Here is a 19175-nt window from a genome sequence, read left to right as displayed (position 1 = left end):
AAGTGATCCTCCCGTCTCAGCCTCCCAAAGTGCTAGGATTACAGGCATGAGCCATGGCACCCGGCCCCAATTTTTAAAAATATATACATAGAAAAAAGATAAGGATATATGCCAATGATCAATTCTGTTTGGTTGTTGAGATTACAGAGATTTTATGTTTTATTTGTGTTTTTTTTTGTGTGTTTTCTACAGAGCTCATGTAATTATTTTATAATCAGAACAATATTATTTATAAAGCATAATAGTCATGATGATGAGAATATTATAATTGTAAGAAATGGCACAGTTCTCAACTAAAAGGGTGGCAATTAGAGCTGAAGATGGAAAGTCAAATTTGAAAGATGCCTAAAAACTAGTGTTATGGGCTGAGTCGTGTGCCTCCAAATTTCAGATGTTGAAGTCCTAACCACTCGTACATCAACATGTGACTGTATTTGGAGACAGGGCATTTAAAGAGGTAGTTAAGATGTAATGAGGTCATGTGGATGGGCCCTAATCCAATATGACTAGTGCTCTTACAGGAAGAGGAAACTAAGGCCAGGCACAGCGGCTCATGCCTGCAATCTCAACCCTGTGGGAAGCTGACATGGGAGAATGACTTGAGGCCAGGAGTTTGAGACCAGCCTGGGCAACATAGGGAGGGATCCCATCTCTACAAAAAATAGAAAAATATTAGCTTAGCATGAGGTCACGCACCTGTAGTCCCAGCTACTTGGGAGGCTGAGGTGGGAGGATTGCTTGAGCCTGGGAGATTGAGGCTGCTGTGAGCTGTGATTATGCCACTGTACTCCAGCCTGGGTGACGGAGTGATCTTGTCTCAAAAAAAAAAAAAGAGGAGGCGAGTAGGACATAGACGACACACAGGCCAAGACGAAGAGGAGGCCATGTGAGGATGCAGCAAGAAGGTGGCCATCTGTAAGCCAAGAGGAAAGGTCTCAGAAGACACCAAACCTGCAGACATGTTGATTTTGGATTTCCAGACTCCAGAACTAGGAGAAGATGATTTTCTGTTGTTTAAACAACTCAGTCTGTGGTATTTTGTTATGGCAGCCTTAGAAAACAAAGACAGCTAGTATTGTCAGGATTTTGATATGGGAAGAGAGGACTCTAAAATGACTTCCAGGTCACCTTTCTCAAGGTAAAGACACTGATTGAGTTCTGGGTAAAGATTGAGTTCTGGGCAGTTTAAGCTTCAGATGCCAATGGAACTGAGCAGAGATGTTGAGTAAGAAGTTGGACGTGTGAGTCTTCAGGAGGGAGAGCTGAGATGGGGTTGGGAGATTGGGAGTTGTTTAGCTTATTAAGTTGTATGGGAAGTCAAGGGTGTGACTGAGAGCAGTCTGAGAGAGGGTGACCTATTTTTGGAAAGAGCACAGTTTGTGTGTCAGACACACTGGCTTTGAATTCTATCTCTACCTCTTTTTAGCTGTGAGACTTTGCACCCATTACTATCCTACTCAGAACCTCAACTTACTGTTTGTGAGACAGAGGGGATAGCAGGGGCCTCACGGGGTCTTAGGAGCTTTAAATGATGTACCACGTTAAGTTCTAGAATGTTCCAGAGTTGGAGTTTACACAAAGTGGCAGCTATTTCTATTTTAGTAAGAACTAGGGCAAGGAGAGAATACTGCTTCTGAAGAGGTGCTCAGAGGAAGGTGAGCATTGAGGGAGACTGAGAAGGAAAAGTCAGAGAGATAGGGGGAGAAATAGGCAAGAGTGTGGGGTAAGGAAGTCAAAATCCAAGAAGGCTTCAAGAAAACAATTGGTCAGCAATGTGATGTGCCGTAGAGAAGTCAAGAAGATGAGCACGGAATCCAGCACAGGAGATGTGGCCGTCAGGAAGTCTAGGGGCAAAGAGACCTCGCCTTGAAGTAAATGAGAGGTAAGGGAGTGGGTTTTAGGCGTAGGCCATTTCTTCAAGAAGTTTAACTCTGTTCTGCCAGGCAGTGGATGGAGTAATAGGACTGGATCTTGCCTGCAAAGAACAGAGATGTGACCACCAGCTATGTATTTTATTATTCAGTAAAACATAGACATGATATTGAAGGGAAAAGGGCACTGAATCCCTCACCTGCCTGCTCATCTTCTGTTTTCTACCCAAAATGGAACTAGAACTGAAATCCTATATAATTCCTTATTTAAATTCAAAATAGAATGGGATATATGATTCATTTCAATTCCTTATTCCATGTGCTTCTCCTTTGAAGACTATGCACCATTTTTTTTAAGTCCCAAGGCTCTCCTTTCTTATTTGAGAAATAGAATAAAGTTATTATGTTATTATTTATGTGTGTCTATGTGATAATAAAACCAACACAGACAAATTGAATTAGAGAGCTGTGTGCTGGTCAACAGTATTCTAAGAGGGAATTCACTAACAACACAGGAAACATTTATTCTTTTGATGCATTTTTGTTTCTCCATCATAATTATTTTTAACTTTTATCTCTACAATATCAGCCTACAGCAGACCCACTATTTTCTTCCATTAAAAACCTACTTTAAAAAAGTGAAAACAGGCTGGGCACGGTGGTTCATGCCTGTAATCCCAGCACTTTGGGAGGCCGAGGCGGGCAGATCACGAGGTCAGGAGATCGAGACCATCCTGGCTAACAAGTCACTACTAAGGTGAAACCCCATCTCTACTAAAAATACAAAAAAACTAGCTGGGCATGGTGGTGGGTGCCTATAGTCCCAGCTACTCGGGTAGCTGAGGCAGGGGAATGGCGTGAACCCAGGAGGCGGAGCTTGCAGTGAGCTGAGATTGTGCCACTGCACTCCAGCCTGGGCAACAGAGCAAGACTCCGTCTCAAAAAAAAAAAAAAAAAAAAAGTGAAAACAGGCTGGGTGCGGTGGTTCACACCTGTAATCCCAGCACTTTAGGAGGCCAGGGTGGGCGGATCACCTGAAGCTGGGAGTTTGAGACCAGCTTGACCAACATGGAGAAACCCTGTCTCTACTAAAAATACAAAATTAGGTGGGTGTGGTGGTGCATGCCTGTAATCCCAGCTACTCGGGAGGCTGGGGCAGGAGAATCACTGGAACCCGGAAGGCAAAGGTTGCAGTGACCCAAGATCATGCCATTGCACTCCAGCCTGGGCAATAAGAGCAAAACTCCGTCTAAAAAAAAAAAAAAAAGTGAAAACAAAACCTATGCATGTCCAGACACAGTGGCTCCTCATGCCTGTAATCCCAGCACTTTGGGAGGTCAAGGTGAGAGGATTGCTTGAGCCCAGGAGTTCGAGACCAGCTTGGGCAACATGGAGGGACCCTGTCTCTACAAAAAAATACAAAAAATTAGCTGATGTGGTGGCGTGTGCCTGTAGTTTCAGCTACTCAGGAGGCTGAGGTGGGAGGATCACTTGAGCCTGGGAAGTTGAGGCTGCAGTGTGCCATGATTGCACCACTGCACTCCAGCCTGGGCAACACAGCAAGACTGTGTCTCCAAAAAAGAAAAAAGGGGAGCTATTTATCCCTTATTGTAAATGTTGTTTATTTTGTTTTTTTTTTTAGAGACAGAGTCTCACTCCATCAACTAAGCTGGAGTGCAGTGGCATGATTGCAGCCCTGAACTCCTGGCATGAGCCACAGTGCTTGGCCATAAATGTAATTTTAATAGAATGGAATGCTCTTATATGGACCACCGATTTGCAGGATTAGCACTGACTCATAAGACTCAAAGGAACTTTGGACTGCCATCTATTGAATTTCATCTATATTAAAAGGTACTTTCCTTTTTTTTTTCATATAAACGTCTCTGAAATGAACATACATTTTATCATCAATGACACAGCATGCTGAAATTGACAGCATTTTCCTTAGTGGTACATAAAATGACGGTGTACGTCACAATAGATGGTGCCTTAGAGATGAGGAAATATGGTAATGCTATGCCTTACTACAAGGCAAGCTATTCTAGAAATACAACTACTTACTGGTGTTGTAAGAGCCTCTAGATAATGGTAGTAAGATGGTCACGTGGCAAACACACAGCCTGGCAACATTTTCCATAGCTTAGCATGAAGACAGGCATCTCGCTATCCACAAACAAGCAGGTCATGGCTTAAGATCAGGTAGAATTCCTCTCCAAGTCCATTCCACCCCTTCCCACCCTAAAAATACCATTGTCTCTCTCTGTCTCTCTATTCTCTCTTTCTCTCTCATACACACACATATACCTGCTCCTTGTGAGCTTCCTCCTTCCTACTACCAGCCTTGCAGAGGTCCTTACTAGCCTTGGGGTTGCTCATTTATCAGCCACTGGTGAGAGTAAAGTGGGAAATCCCCTCTTTTACTTAATATTTGATTTATTTTATTATTCTATTTTATTTTTGAGACAGTATCTCACTCTGTTACCCAGGCTAGAGTGCAGTGGCACGATCATAGCTCACTGCAGCCTCAAATTCCTGGGCTCAAGCGATCTTCTCACCTCAGCCTCCCGAGTAGCTGGGACCTTAAGCACACACCACCATGACTGGCTAGTTTTTTGTTATTGTTGTTAGTGTCGTTGTTGTAGAAATGGGGTCTCCCTATGTTGCCCAGGCTGTCTTTTCTTTTATATTTTTAGAGACAGAGTTTTGCTCTGTTGCCCAGGCTGGTTGTGCAGTGGTGCAATGATAGCTCACCACAGTCTTGAACTCCTGGGCTCAAGCAATCTTCCTGCCTCAGTCTTCCAAGTGGCTGAGACTACAGGTGCCCACCACCACACCCAGCTAATTAAAACAAAATTTTTTTAGAGATGGGGTCTTGCTATGTTCCCCAGGCTGGTCTCAAACTCCTGGGCTCAAGCAATCCTCCTACCTTGGCCTCCCAAAGTGCTAGGATTACAGGCATGAGCCACATTGTCCCGCCTTGATATTTAATTTCTGTTAAAGCTTTACTTAGATTTTGTTAATAATAAAGATCTACCCATTTCCCGAAGCCGCAGGAAGCCCCAAGCTCTACCAAGCATTTTATAGGTGCACTGCTGTTACCTGGGCACCTCCCACAATTCTCCTTCCAGGACTGCAAGCCTGCATGCATTTTCTGTTGCTTCCTGAGAAAGACCTGGGAGCCATGGCTTTAGCCTGAAAGTTCTTGAGTCTTTTTAGGAAGAATCTGAACTGCAAAACACTTGTCCTTTATATTTATAACTGGTCAAAATAACGCTGGAGTTAATGTTACATCTGTTACAGAAAATGAAACCTCCTGAGCTGTCCGGTAATAGAAAGAAGCTGCAGAACCCTGTTGTCTTCATCTTTTGTTTAACTCATGCAACATTTGAAAGCACGTTTGCCTACAAGAAATAAAACTTAAGTTGTGAAATGGCTTATTAATGAACTCAGATGACAAGAAACCAAAACAGCGGGCCTGGCTGAAGGATTCATCCCTAGCCCTGAAAGCCAGCGGGGTCTTTCTGTAACATCAAAGGCACAAACAATTGAACCGACATGGGGACTTATTCTGTCCAGCAGCCCTGGTGGCCTCAGACCATCCGAAGCAAGGGTAACCTACCAGGTATGTGAGTTTTCTTCACCTGAAAGTTGATTTTGCCCGAGAGCTTATAAATCGCAGTTCCCATCTTCGAGCCCGGCCCTGCTGTGCAGCAGAGTACAGAGAGACAGCTGATGGTAACAGGCTGAGCCGGCCAGGCCTGGCTGACCTGCGTGACTCAGAGCCCACCAGGGAGCAGGCCCTCGGCCTCTCTTCACTCCCTGGCTTCATGTATTTTTCCAAGTGGTCACCAGCATGCTCAGCAGCTCTGCTCACAGGGACCGTCAAGTGTTCACACCTGTGTCTGTAAGTCAAATTAGAAGAGGCTGAGGGAGCGTCTCTGAGACGGCAGTGTTGATTGGAGGTGCCTGTGGAGGTGGTTAAGGCCTCTGGACCCAGACACTTTAGGTGAGCTGTGTGACCTTTGGCAATGTATTTAACCTCTCTGTGCTTCCATTTCTTCTCTAAAATGAGGAAAATAATAGTTCCCATCTCACTGAGTTTGCTGATGCTGTTGTTTTTGAGATAGGGTCTCCCTCTGTTGCCCAGGCTGGAGTAGAGTGGCATGACTCGGCTCACTGCAATCTTGATCTCCTAGCTAAAGCACTCCTCCTACCTCAGCCTCCCAAGTAGCTGGGAACATAGGCAAGTGTCGCCACGCCTGCCTAATTTAAAAAAAAAATTTTTTTTTTTTTGGTAGAAATCGGGTCTCCCTATGTTGCCCAGGCTGGTCTTGAACCCCTGGACTTAAGCAGTCCTCCCACCTCGGCCTCCCATAGTGCTGGAATTACAGACATAAGCCACCACATCTAGCCCTCACTGAGTTGCGATAAGTATGAAAAGTGCTTAGAATGTTACTCAGCACCATAGTAAGTGCTCTGAAAGGGTGAGCCATTGAAAGAATCTCTCGATGTTTCTTGTTCAGAAAATTTGCATTTATGAGCAGGACTGCTGATTGATTAGGGTACTGCTTTCTAAATATTTCCAAGAATACTAGGAAACTCCACTTCACATGATAGGTTAGATCACAATTCCCAGTGTTTGGAGGGAAAGGCCCACTATAATAATAGTCAAGAATTAAGAGGAGAGGAGAGGCTGCTCAGCAGCATTCTTCAACCAGGCCTGTAAATAGGGCTGTTTTCTATTTGAACTCGCAGTCGGCAATCCATCCTGAGAGGGGGCAGAGCTGCTCAGTGTTGCCGTTGACTTGTGCTCAAGCTCTTTCGAAGCGCTCTCTCCCAAATGGCTGCCTTTTTAATGGTTAGAAATCTGCGGGTAGCTGTCCTTTTCTCTCCCTGATCTCCCACTTCTGTTGACTATGAGGCATTTTTACCCCTTGGTGAAACCCTCTAAGGAAGATTGCATTACTTTACTTTTCTGGTGTCCTGAGGCAGAGGAGAGTTGATTTCACCAAAGCCAGATCACGTAGAGGGGAGGCCATCAGGATTGGGTGCAAACCCTTCAGCAGCCCCAAAATAGCATTTCTTATTTCTCAGCTGGCTCTGTCACTTACCAGCCCTGTGATCTGGGTTCTCACTTTTCACATCTCTAAAACAAAGGGGCGTTCCTAGAAGACCTCTAAGGTCCCTGTAAATTCTCTGCTTTCTTTTGAGGTTCTGAAATGGGTGTTTACACACCCGAGGGAAGGAGGGAGGCCGTGGAATCACACAAAGCTACAGGCTAAACATAGCTCATCTTTCTAGAAAGGCAACATTATTTTTTATATTAAAACAAAACTGGGAGTTATTATGGAATACAATTCAAAGTTCCCAAGATTTTTAAAGAAAAAAGTGAGGTTAAAAAAATGTTCATTTTGGAAAAAATAGTGGTGATGGTTGCACAACACTGTGATTAACATTAATGCCACTGAATTGTAAAATTAAGAGTGGCTAACATGGCAAATTTTATGTTATATATATTTTTGCCATAATAAAAAAATTAAAAAGCAATGTTCAGGTAGACTAGAGAGTTCAGAAATAAACTCACACATACTTGGTCAACTGATTTTCAATAAAGGTAAAAAGGTACTTCAGTGGAAAAAGGACAATCCCCTGAAAAATGGTGCTGGGACAATTAGATATTCATATCTTTTTTGCATATTATTTAATCAACTTTGATCCATACCTTGCACCATACATAAGAATTAATTCAAAGTAGATCGTAAGGCTAAATGTAAAACCTAAAGCTATACAATTTCTAGAAGAAAACATAGGAGGGAATCATTGTGACTTTGGGTTAGGGAAAGATTTTCCAGGTAAGATGACAAAAGCACAATTCATAGAAGAAAAAATTGATAAGCTTGACTTCATCAAAATTAGGAACTACTCGTCAAAAGATACAATTAAGAGAAGGAAAAGACGAGAGACTGAAAGTAAATATTTGCAAATCACATGTCTGATATAGGAATATATAAAGAATCTAAAAACTTAATTAGAAACCAAGTAACCTACTTAACAAATGGGCAAAATACATAAACAGACTTCACAAAAAAAGACATACAGATGGCAAACAAGTACATGAAAAGATGCTCAATATTATTAGTCACTAGAGAAATGCAAATTCAAACCACAGTGAGATGCTACCACACACCTATTGGAATGGCTGAAATGAAGATGTGACAATACCACATTTTGGTGAGGATGTGGAGCAACTGGAACTTTTTCTTACAGGCTGCGGGTGAGAATGTAAAGTGATACAACTACTTTGGAAAAACGGTTTGTTAAAAAGTTAAATATACATCTACCATATGACACAGCCATTCTACTCCTACATATTTAACCAAGAGAATGGAAAGCATATGCCCATACAAAGACTTGTACACAAATATTTATAGTAGCTTTATTTTCAATAACCTAAAAGTGGAAACAACTCAAATGTCCATCAACAGGAAAATAGATAAATTGTTGTGCAATGGGCCAGGCACGGTGGCTCACATATGTAATCCCAGCACTTTGGGAGGCTGAGGCGGGTGGATTGCTTGAGCCCAGGAGTTCAAGACCAGCCTAGGCAGCATGGTGAGACCATGTCTCTATGGAAAAAAAAAAAAATTGTTGTGCACTGGAATACTATTCAGCAATTAAAAATGAATTATTGATGCACATGCAATATGGATAATTATACTGAGTGAAAGAAGCCAGACAAAAAAGAATATATATTATATCATTCCATTTATATAATGCCCCAAAAGATGCAAACTAATCTATAATGACAGAAAGCAGATCAGAGGTTACTTAGAGGTGAGAGGGATGGAGGAGTGAACAAGAAGGATTACAAAGGGACCTGGGGACACTTTTGGAGTGATGGATTTGTTCATTATCTTCATGTGATGACTTCCGGGGTTACAAAGTCAAGCTCTTCTGAGATGGGAGTAGGTTGGTAGAAAAGTTTGCAGGGTCTCAGTTAGCAGAATAAAAGCATAGTACTAGCAAGAAAATCTCTCACCAAGCTCGATTGTCACAAAATATGATGACTGAGTCCTCTGAAACCTCTCTCTTCTGTTTGTCATAGTAATACTTTGGGTGAACAACATGTTGGTTAAGTTTCTCTGTATTTTTCCAAAAATATTTTCCAAATCATATTGCCTATTTTATTGATGAGAGTATTTTGATTGTAAGTAATAAGAAATCTATCTCAATAGATAGGCCAATAAGGGAATTTATTGGCTCACATACTGATAAGTATAGTGATAGACTACATTCAGGTATGGCTGGGTCCAGGAACTCAAACAAGTTCATCGATTCTTGATCTATTTACATCTTTCTGCTCTCCTTTCCTCTTGACGGCACCATTGCCAGGAAAGTCTTCTCTCATGGTTGCAGGATGGCTCTCAGCAGCTCTAGGCCCACAGCTAGAAGACAGAGTGCTTACTTTCCTAAGAGTCCAGGATTGGCTCTGATTGAATGGACTTACAGCAAATGTCTATGTCTAGGTGTTAGAAAATGCTGATTGGTCAGGCTTGGGTATGTGTCCACTCATGGATCAGCTGCAAGTAAGGCATAAATGTCTCTCCAAGGAAAATCAGATATCTACTACATCTTCAATATTAAACCCTTAAAAAACAGTAATAATTAGCTTAATGTGGTGCTCAGTTTTACTTCCTGAAGACTTGACTTTTGGAAAGTAATTGCATTTATATTAAAGATACTTAGAATTGTGGACTCACATGATTAGAAAAGACATTTAAGGTCTAAGTATTCTGTTTAACAAGTTTCATATCTCCTAATACATTGAAGCTGTGGTTAAAAGCTACTTGCATTTCATGGCATATGATCATTCAATCTAGGGAAGTGCACCATGAAGTAAAAATAAAAGCTACCTCTGTTGTATTAAGCATTTTCTCTAGTTAGTACTTAATTTTTTCAGCAACCTGTGAGGATGTTACAGATGAGGGAACTGAGGTTCCGAAAGGCTGAGTAACCTGCCCAAGGTCAAGTTTGCGAGTGGTGAGGAGGGTTAGAACCCAGGCCCATCTGACGCTAAAGCTTGTGCTCCCAGCTGCTGTCATCCTTGGCAGACTCCTGTCTCCAGCATCATCAGTCACTGCGAGTCACAGCTGCGGGGGGCCTGGCATGTGGCAGTGCTAGGGCTGGGCCTCTTCAGCGTCACCTGCCCTGTGCACCGTTATCCAGCACCCACCCTGGGGCTGGAAGGGGTGAAATGAGGTGAACCTATGCTTTCAACGTCCTCTTCTGCTTAATGCTAAAGGGAGGTTTCCTTTGTAGCCTATTTAATACATAAGGTTTCTTTCAGTTTCCTAATGTCAGGCTAACAAAAGGATGTTCCTTTTTCAGTACTTTCCAATGTGCCTTTGAAGACCGCTGTAAAACCAGCAGGTTGATGTGGAATAAAGAGCCCTGGCCTAGTTAGAAAGAAATCTGAATTCCTGTATTTCTGGCTTTTCCAGCAACTCCCTGCATGACCTTTGAAAATCCACTTAACCACTCTAAGCGTCAGTTGCCGGAACTGAAGTTGGATGAGATCAATGTTTCCTGACAGTGGTTGACATACTCTGGTGGTACCTAAAATCAACATTTTGAAATTTTAGTAGTTATGTATCGATTTCTTTTTTAAAATTCTTTTTTGAGACAGGGTCTTGTGTTCTGTCTCCCAGGCTGGTATGCAGTGGTGGGATCATGGCTCACTGCAGTCTCCACCTCCTGGGCTCAAGTGATCCTCTCACTTCAGCTTCCCAAGTAGCTGGGACTACAGGTGTGCACCACCATGCCCCACTAATTTTTTTTAACATTTTGTGTGTGTGTGTTTAGAGACAAGATCTCACTATGCTGCCTAGAGTGGTCTCAAACTCCTGGATGCGAGTGGTTCTCCTGCCTTGGCCTCCCAATTTGCTGGGATTACAGGCGTGAGCCACCACACCTGGCCTGTATCAATTTTTTAAAATTTAAATTTATTTATTTATTTTTTGAGACAGAGTGTCGCTTTGTCACCCAGGCTGGAGTGCAGTGGCTTGATCTCAGCTCATTGTAACCTCTGCCTCCCAGGTTCAAGCAATACTTGTGCCTCAGCCTCCCAAGTAGCTGGGATTACAGCCATGTGCCACCATGCTCAGCTAATATTTGTATTTTTAGCATAGATGGGATTTCACCATGTTGGCCAGGCTGGTCTCAAACTCCTGGCTTCAAGTGATCTGCCCACCTTGGCCTCCCAAAATGCTGGGATTACAGGCATGAGCCACCACACCCAGTTGCTGGTATCAATTTTAATGTTTTAAAAATGTAATCGTATATCAAATAATTCCCCAGGCATCACTTTTTAGGATGATGCTAAAAAAGGGGGTAAGGTACTTAGTAAAAATACTAGTAGGGAGTTATGCATGTATGGCAAAAATTGTGAAGATAGCCTGTGAATGACATTTGGGAAACACTGGATTGGGCAGGAAATGAGAGCTATCATTTATTGTGCACTTACTGTGTGCCATATTAGTGTACTTTATATGCATTAATTTATTTAATTCTTAAAACATCCCCAAGGAATAGGTACTGTCGTTATCTTCTGTTTTTTATGGAAGAGGACACTGGGGTACTGAAGGGTTAAGCTGCTTTCTTACAGTCATCTGCCAACACATGGCAGGACCAGGTTCTAACCTCAAGCCCTGTTCTTAGTCCGGTTCTCTGCTGGAGACCTTGATTGATTGTGAAGGACTCACTGGGACTCAATGATAGGATTCTGCAATTCAGCAGTTCTCAGAGGAGGACAGCATGAGCTTCAGCTGGGTAACTTGTTAAACTGCAGGTTCACTGAATCCCCACGTTCATTGCACCACCATTCACAGTAGCCAAGATAATCAACTTAGCTGTCCATGGACAGATGAATTAATCAAGAACATGTGGTATATGTACATGGTGGAACACTATTCAGCCTTTTAAAAAAAGGATTCTGCCATTTGTGATTGTGTAGATAAATGTGGAGAAGTTCAGTGCAATAAGCCAGGCACAGAAAGACAATTACCACATGTTCTCACTTCTATGTGGAATTTAACAAAGTTGAACTCAGGGCCAGGTGCAGTGGCTCACGCCTGTAATCCTAGCACTTTGGGAGGCTAAGGCAAGAGGATCACTTGAGGCCAGGAGTTCAAGACCAGCCTGTGCAACATAGTGAGACTCTGTCTCTACGAAAAGTTTTAAAAAGTTATCCAAGCAACGTGGCATGTGCCTATAGTCCCAGTTACTCAGTAGGCTGAGGTGGGAGAATTGCTTGAGCCCAGGAGTTTGAGGCTGCAGTGAGCTATGATCACACCACTACACTACAGCTTGGGCGACAAAGCAAGACCCTGTCTTTAAAAAATTTAAAAAAAAAACAACTCATTTTTTAAAAAGTTTTGTACTCACAGAGGTAGAAAGTAGAATAGTGGTTACCAAAGGCTGGGGGTTGGGAGGGGTTAGGGGAGATATTGGTCAAAGGACACAAAATTTCACCTAGACAGAAGGAATAAGTTTGAGAGCTCTATTGTACAACATAGTGACTATAGTTAGTAACAATGTATCCTATACTTGAAAATTGCCAAGTAGATTTTAAGTGTTCTCACCACAAAAAAATAAGTATATGAGACAATGCATATATTAATGAGGTTGATTTAACCATTCCGCAATAAGTACATATTTCAAAACATCATGCTGTATACCATAAATACATATGTATATAAGTTTTATCTGTCAATTAAAAATAAGAAGTAAATAAAAATGTAGATACATAGTCCCTTCTCCAGAAATCCTGGCCCTTACATTGTCCGAGTGTGGGAAAGCAGTATGAATAATCACCCCAGATAGTTCTGAGGTGGGTGGACCTGCAGTCTCATAGTGAGAAATGAAGGCAATTCTAGGAATCGTTAGAATAATGAGTTCTATTTGGGAGATGAGCTCACTACAGACATCTCTCCCTGTTCACCTGGCTTGTCACTCCCACTTGAGACTCTTTGCAGCCTTTGGGACGGAGGTAACGTGCTGATGATGTGCCTCTTTCAATACTGTCTTTCACACGCATCACAGTAGCAGCGAGGAATCAAATGGCCTTTATTCTCGTCTATTCTGACAGTAGATCTATATGCTTCTGATCACACTACAGTAATATAAGAAACTCCAAAGCAGAGAGCAAAAAAAAAAGTAGACTTTGAAAATGAAATGTTGAAGCAAACAAATTCTGGGTCTGCAGGAATTTCGCCCACGCTCACCACTGCCACCTGCCAGCCCATTTTCCCATTCCGCAGCCAAGGCTCATTATGATCTTAAGTAGGCCAATGAGATGGAACTGAAAAAGGCTGAAAATGAAGTGGGAGAATGCGTATGACTGTTCATATGAGACAATGAGGAGAAGAGCTGCCTGACCCAGGCATGGCTTTGCCAGTCAGGCCTGCTAAAAGGAGATGGGGGGAAAACAAAAGGAAAAATAAGTGAGGATGCTTTCATAGCATCTAAAAAGAAGGAAGCAGTCTTCTAGTTATAGTCCCCCTCAGACCCACAATCTTGAAACCAGATTTTAAGACATACACAAATATCTGCAATTCAGAGTAGAAAATGGCAATGAGCATCACAAAAGTAGTTCAAATATTTTCTTTTTTTATTTTTCTTGACACGGAGTCTCACTCTATCGCCCAGATGGAGTACAATGGTGCAATCTTGGCTCACTGCAACCGCGGCTTTCCAGGTTCAAGTGATTCTCCTGCCTCAGCCTCCCGAGTAGCTGGGGTGACAGGCACACGCCACCACGCCTGGCTAATTTTTGTATTTGTAGTAGAGATGGGGTTTCACCATGTTGGCTATGCTGGTCTCAAACTCCTGACCTCGGGTGATCCACCTGCCTCGGCCTCCCAAAGTGCTGGGAGTACAGGTGTGAGCCACTGTGTCCGGCCACTACAAATATTTTCAAAGAGCTGTAGAGCAAGTTTGATGAGCAAATGAAAGAAAATATTTTCACAACTCTAAGACCTGATGCCTAACAACTGAATAAAGAGGATGAAGCTGGAACATGAACTCTTCAGCTTGCCATAGTTCTCACCATTTCTGATTTTTCTTTTACTCAACTCCTTTTATTCATAAGGACAAGCATAAGAGTTTGCAGTCCTTGGTTCCAAGCATGATATAATAATGCTAATAATGCAGTTGCTGCAGAGGATGTGATGAGACTGGCCATGTGGGCCAGACTGGCATGGGCCTTGAATCTATGCAAAGGAGTTTGCACATTAAAAGTCAGTGGTTCTCAACTGGAAGGTGGGCCCCCTTTTTTTAGATCTGGGCACCTTGACATCACTGAGTATAATAAGAGGTCTTCTTCTGGGGGTGTGTTGTACGTGAGAATGTTGTGGAGGTAGAACAACAGCTGAGAGTCAAAGCTGTAGGCAGTAGGGAGCCACAAAACAGTGTGACTTGGGAATGACGTGAGCACACTTGAACTTTAGAAACACCACTCTGGGGAAGCTTGGAGGACAGAGGGAAGAGGGATGATTAAGAGCAAGTACAGGCTGGGCGCGGTGGCTCATGCCTATAATCGTAGCACTTTGGGAGGCCAAGACGGGTGGATCACTTGAGGTCAGGAGTTCGAGATCAGCCTGGCCAACATGGTGAAATCCTGATTCTACAAAAATAAATAAATAAATAAATAAATAAATAAATAAATAAATAAATAAAATTGCCGGGCATGGTGGCACACCCCTGTAGTCCCAGCTACTTGGGAGGCTGAGGCAAAAGAATCACTTGAACCCAGGAAGAGGAGGCTGCAGTGAGCCGAGATTGTGCCACTGCACTCCAGCCTGGGCAACAGAGCAAGACTCTTTCTCAAAAAAAAAAAAAAAAAGAGCAAGTACAGCTAGCAAGTGGTGATGGCAGTCTGGGTGGGATTTGGGAGCCTTCTCTCTACCACCAGCTTCCCCATTCCTCTCTGAATTAGTCACCCCGATGAGCTCAGGAACTGGGCTGTGGGGCAGGAGATCAAACTGAGGTGATGAAGTCCTCTTTATTGAAAACATTTGTCCCTTGGCGGGTGCAGTGGCATGTTCTTGTAATCCCAGCTACTCGGGAAGCTGAGGTGGGAGGATTGCTTGAGCCCAGAAATGTGAGGCCGCAAGGCACTGTGATCACACCTGTGAATAGCCACTGCACCCCAGCCTGGGCAACATAGCAAGACTCTGTCTCAAAAAAAAAAAAATTAAATTGAAAACATTTGTTCCTCTTGCATTTTTTTGCCCTTTTCCTCCAGTTACAGGAGGAGGAAGGGTAGGACAAAGGGTTTAAAGAGTCCTGGTTTCTGGTCTTAGTCTGCAAACAACTCTGGATCATATGCAAATTCGGGAGCTGGTCTTCACAGAGAGCTCCCACTGAAGGCTGCTTGACCTGAGGGGGTCAGGAGGGAGCTTTTTGGAACCTCAGGTGACATCTTTATCCACAAAGCAATGTCTGTACAAAGAAGCTTATTTTTTCTTTTTTATTTTATTTTATCTTTTTGAGACAGAGTCTTACTCTGTCGCCCAGGCTGGAGTGCAGTGGCGTGATCTTGGCTCACTGCAACCTCTACCTCCCGGGTTCAAGAGATTCTCCTGTCTCAGCCTCCCAAGTAGGTGGGATTACAGGTGCCCAACACCATGCCCGGCTATTTTTTGTATTTTTCATAGAGATGGGGTTTCGCCATGTTGGCCAGGCTGGTCTTGAACTCCTGACCTCAGGTGATCTGCCTGCCTCAGTCTCCCAAAGTGCTGGGATTACAGGCTTGAGCCACCGTGCCTGGCCAGAAGCTTATTTTTTTGAGCAAATCAACAGAGAAAGCATTCCAGAAAAAGAACAGGGCAGCAGTTTTAAAAAATATGGGCATCTTCTTTTGCGCTGGCATGAGTCAGCACTCTTCCCCACCCCTCCGGCCCTGTGCCTGATGACTTGGGCTTGGGGGATGTAGTTGGTGGAAAAGCAACACTCTTTTTCTGGATTTCCAAAGGGTCCCAGCAGCCCGGAGGAGTGGGAGAGGAATGGAAATGAAGATACACTTTTCCCCACCTTTCCCCCAGGAGCCTATTAGTTCTACATTTGTTTTGTTGCATCTTAAACTCCTACTGGGACAGAGAAATTTCTGTCCTCCCAGCCTCTTTAGCTGAAACCAAGTAGCTGAATGGCTATGACAATAGCCAAAAGGATAATTTAGGTGGGTGAAACTTCCAGTTTTTTTTATTTCTTGCGTTGAGACTCCTGGCACACAAGTTTCATAGTCCTTATATGAATCAACTCTCAATCCTCTTAGTAAAAAAATCTAAGGCGGCAGATCATTCAGACAATCTGGTAGCTGCAATCCTAAAATGGCTTTTGACAAGAGACTTGGTAGGTGCTAGTGTTTATGTGTGGGTAACATTCGTGGTCTTTTGTGAACGTGCTGGGCTGAGTGGGAGGAGGAGGGAGGATAGGACAAAGGGTTAAACGTTTTTAACCACATATTTCATCATCAGCATTGGGCATGCCCTAACATGCTAAAGGACAGTGAAAAGGGGTCCCTGCTGATTTCTCCCCACATCCCCCCAGCAGGAGCTGGGAGGAAAATAATAGATTTGACAGCTGGAGAACAGAAGTTCTGTTGCAATTTCTGTTTTTTATTTTATATGCCCTCAAAAAAAAAGAAAGCAATGAATAGTTTTGAGCCCGGAGAATATCCACCCTGTAACATAGACTTTTTGATATTTTCAAAGATGTTCATTCTTCTTTGACTGAGCTTCCCAGATCTGTCTGGAAAACCATGTCATAGAAAACAGTTCATTTCCAAAAGCATCTGCTTTCATGCTTCATGGTGTTCCAAAAAAGTTTACCGTGCCTAAAGAACTTCAAGTGTGAAACTCAAAATTTGAAGCTTCACAAGATGAGCGTTGTATAATTTCACAGACTCCCTTCTCCAATTGAGATGAATCAACCAAGCCAGCAGAAGGGCTGTGTTCCCAGCATTTGGGAGAAGGGACCCCAGAGGGTTCTGAAGGTGGGAGGAGAGCTCAGACTCAGGCATTGCTGAAACTAAAATTTACTTCTTCTGCCTATGCCTCTTTAAAGCTGTGTGACCTGGGCAAATTATTTACCCTCTTTGAGCTCCTGAAACCTCTCCTTTGGTCAAAATAAAGAGGGGTGGGGAGTAATAATACAATGTTTCAGTGTAGAATACAGACATAGAGCAGCCATCCAATAAATGGCACTGACGGGCATGATGGAGCTTTGGAAAACAGCGACATAGACGCATGGAAGAAGGGCAACATTACCAACAATCCTGATACCTGTGGAAATGATTCTTTCTTCCTTGTGCATAGGTGATACAATCCACGTGTCATTTTCAGCGTCAGATTATCCAGTGAGGACTTTCGAAATTAAAAGACAGACTTCTCTGACTTTAGTTTTGGCCCAGGGAGATTTACCTACTTTTAGAGTTGATGTCTTCTTGGTGTCTTTGACACCAAGGACATACTCATGAAAGGATGTGGTCCAGAGCAGGAGGGGATGAAAGAACAGAAACTCTGACATTGGGATCTTAATCTCAGCCTCACAAGAGGAACTTTGGGCCTCTTTCTCCTGCCACTGCCCAAGGAGTGGGGATGGATTTCTCCATCAAGGGATATCACCTACCTGTCCACTTTAGGAGCACACCTGCTACAGGGGCACAACTGGACATCACTACAGGGAAGGGCTGAGGAGGGTAGTCCCAAACATCAGAGGCATTGCTTGGGTGGGTCAGCTGGGGGAGCGGCACTGGGCCCAGGTCTGGGTGAGGTGGGGTCACAAGTCTCTGCACCCTTTCAGACCACAACAGGGAGCTTGTGCACTAGTTGAGGTACCCCAGTCTCCACATCCTTCTACAGATGACCCGACAACCATTTCCAGCTCAGTGCCGTAAATGTGGCTTAGTCCATTCACCTTCTCTCTCTGTAGATCTCTTTCATCAGAAGGCTACATCTGGAGCCCTTCGGGATGCTGTTTAGCCACTTGACATCACTTTCAGTTACTCTAAAGAAAGGTCATCTCTAGCTCCTTTGGGGTCCTAGATGTTTAAAGTCCATCTATTTTAAGACTTTAATGTAGACTCCCCAGGGGCTGTACCAACACCTCTAATTTCAATCGGTCATCTTGGTTTTTTGGTCCTTCTCTTTTTTTTCCAATGTCCTTCTTTCCATTATGACCGCAATACTTTTTTTTAGCTAGCAAGAATAGTAACAGAAATCCAAAGAACTGAAACACTAAATTCATATTTAATACATATTTCTAGGTTTCCAGTCTGGGAACCTACAACATATATGTGCATATATATATATATATATATATATATATATATATATATATGTGTGTATGTGTGTATCTGTGTGTGTATACACACACATATGCACGCACACTCACACACACAAATATGTATATATTTGCTTTAAAGAATCAGAAATTAGCCGGCGCGGTGGCTCACGCCTGTAATCCCAGCACTTTGGGAGGCCGAGGCGGGCGGATCATGAGGTCAGGAGTTTGAGACCAGCCTGGCCAACATAATAAAACCCCATCTCTACTAAAAATACAAAAATTAGCCGGGCATGGCGGCATGTGCCTGTAGTCCCAGCTACTTGGGAGGCAGAAGAATCGCTTGAACCCAAGAGGTGAAAGTTGGAGTGAGCTGAGATTGCACCACTGCACTCCAGCCTGGGCAACAGAGCGAGACTCCATCTCAAAAAAAAAAAAAAAAAGTCAGAAATGAGCAGATGTCTTGAATGCATCATTATGGCTAGATTTAGAGGCTACCATCTACTGAGTACTTATTGTGTGCCAGGTTTCAATATAAATGCATGATCTCTATCAACCCACTTAATCTTCATGGAGGAAGCCTGCAACAGTAGTACTATTATTATCCCCATTTGACAGACAGGGTGAGGAACTTGATCAAAGTCACGTACACAGAAGGCAGGGGGAGGGACTGGGATTATGGACCTAGGGAGTTTTGTTCTAGAGCCTATACTTTTAGCCACAATGCTACTCTGCCTCTTAAATCTCTTCAGAGCTTATATATATAAATACATACACATATATACACGCACACACATATATGCGCTTATAAACACATATATACGTGTTTATATACATAAACACTTTATTGAGATATGATTGCTTAGGTAATTAATCTTTTAAGCATAGTCATAAAAAAAATAGGGAGTAGAAGGAAGTTTCCCCATTTTTCCCTGTCCCAACTTCAGGTTGGGACAAGTG

General features: G+C 43.0%; 1 protein-coding gene and 1 long non-coding RNA gene across 3 annotated transcripts in view; one reads left to right on the top strand and one right to left on the bottom strand.

Moving 5' to 3' along the window:
* The window catches only part of RASSF3 (Ras association domain family member 3), a 190601-nt gene that overhangs the window by 158737 nt on the left and 12689 nt on the right, over window positions 1-19175 (bottom strand). The gene's annotated exons all lie outside the window — the stretch shown is intronic.
* Window positions 1648-19175, top strand: part of LOC105369803 (uncharacterized) — a 31065-nt gene continuing 13537 nt past the window's right edge. The window contains exons 1-3 of the long non-coding RNA NR_188079.1: window positions 1648-1882; window positions 3514-3725; window positions 5175-5880. This is a non-coding gene — a long non-coding RNA (uncharacterized LOC105369803). The remainder of the gene's footprint in view (window positions 1883-3513; window positions 3726-5174; window positions 5881-19175) is intronic.

This window comes from Homo sapiens, chromosome 12 (assembly GCF_000001405.40).
Source record: "Homo sapiens chromosome 12, GRCh38.p14 Primary Assembly".
NCBI lineage: Eukaryota > Metazoa > Chordata > Mammalia > Primates > Hominidae > Homo > Homo sapiens.
Note: the sequence above shows the minus strand (reverse complement) of the source record. Positions and strands in the feature narration are given on the sequence as shown.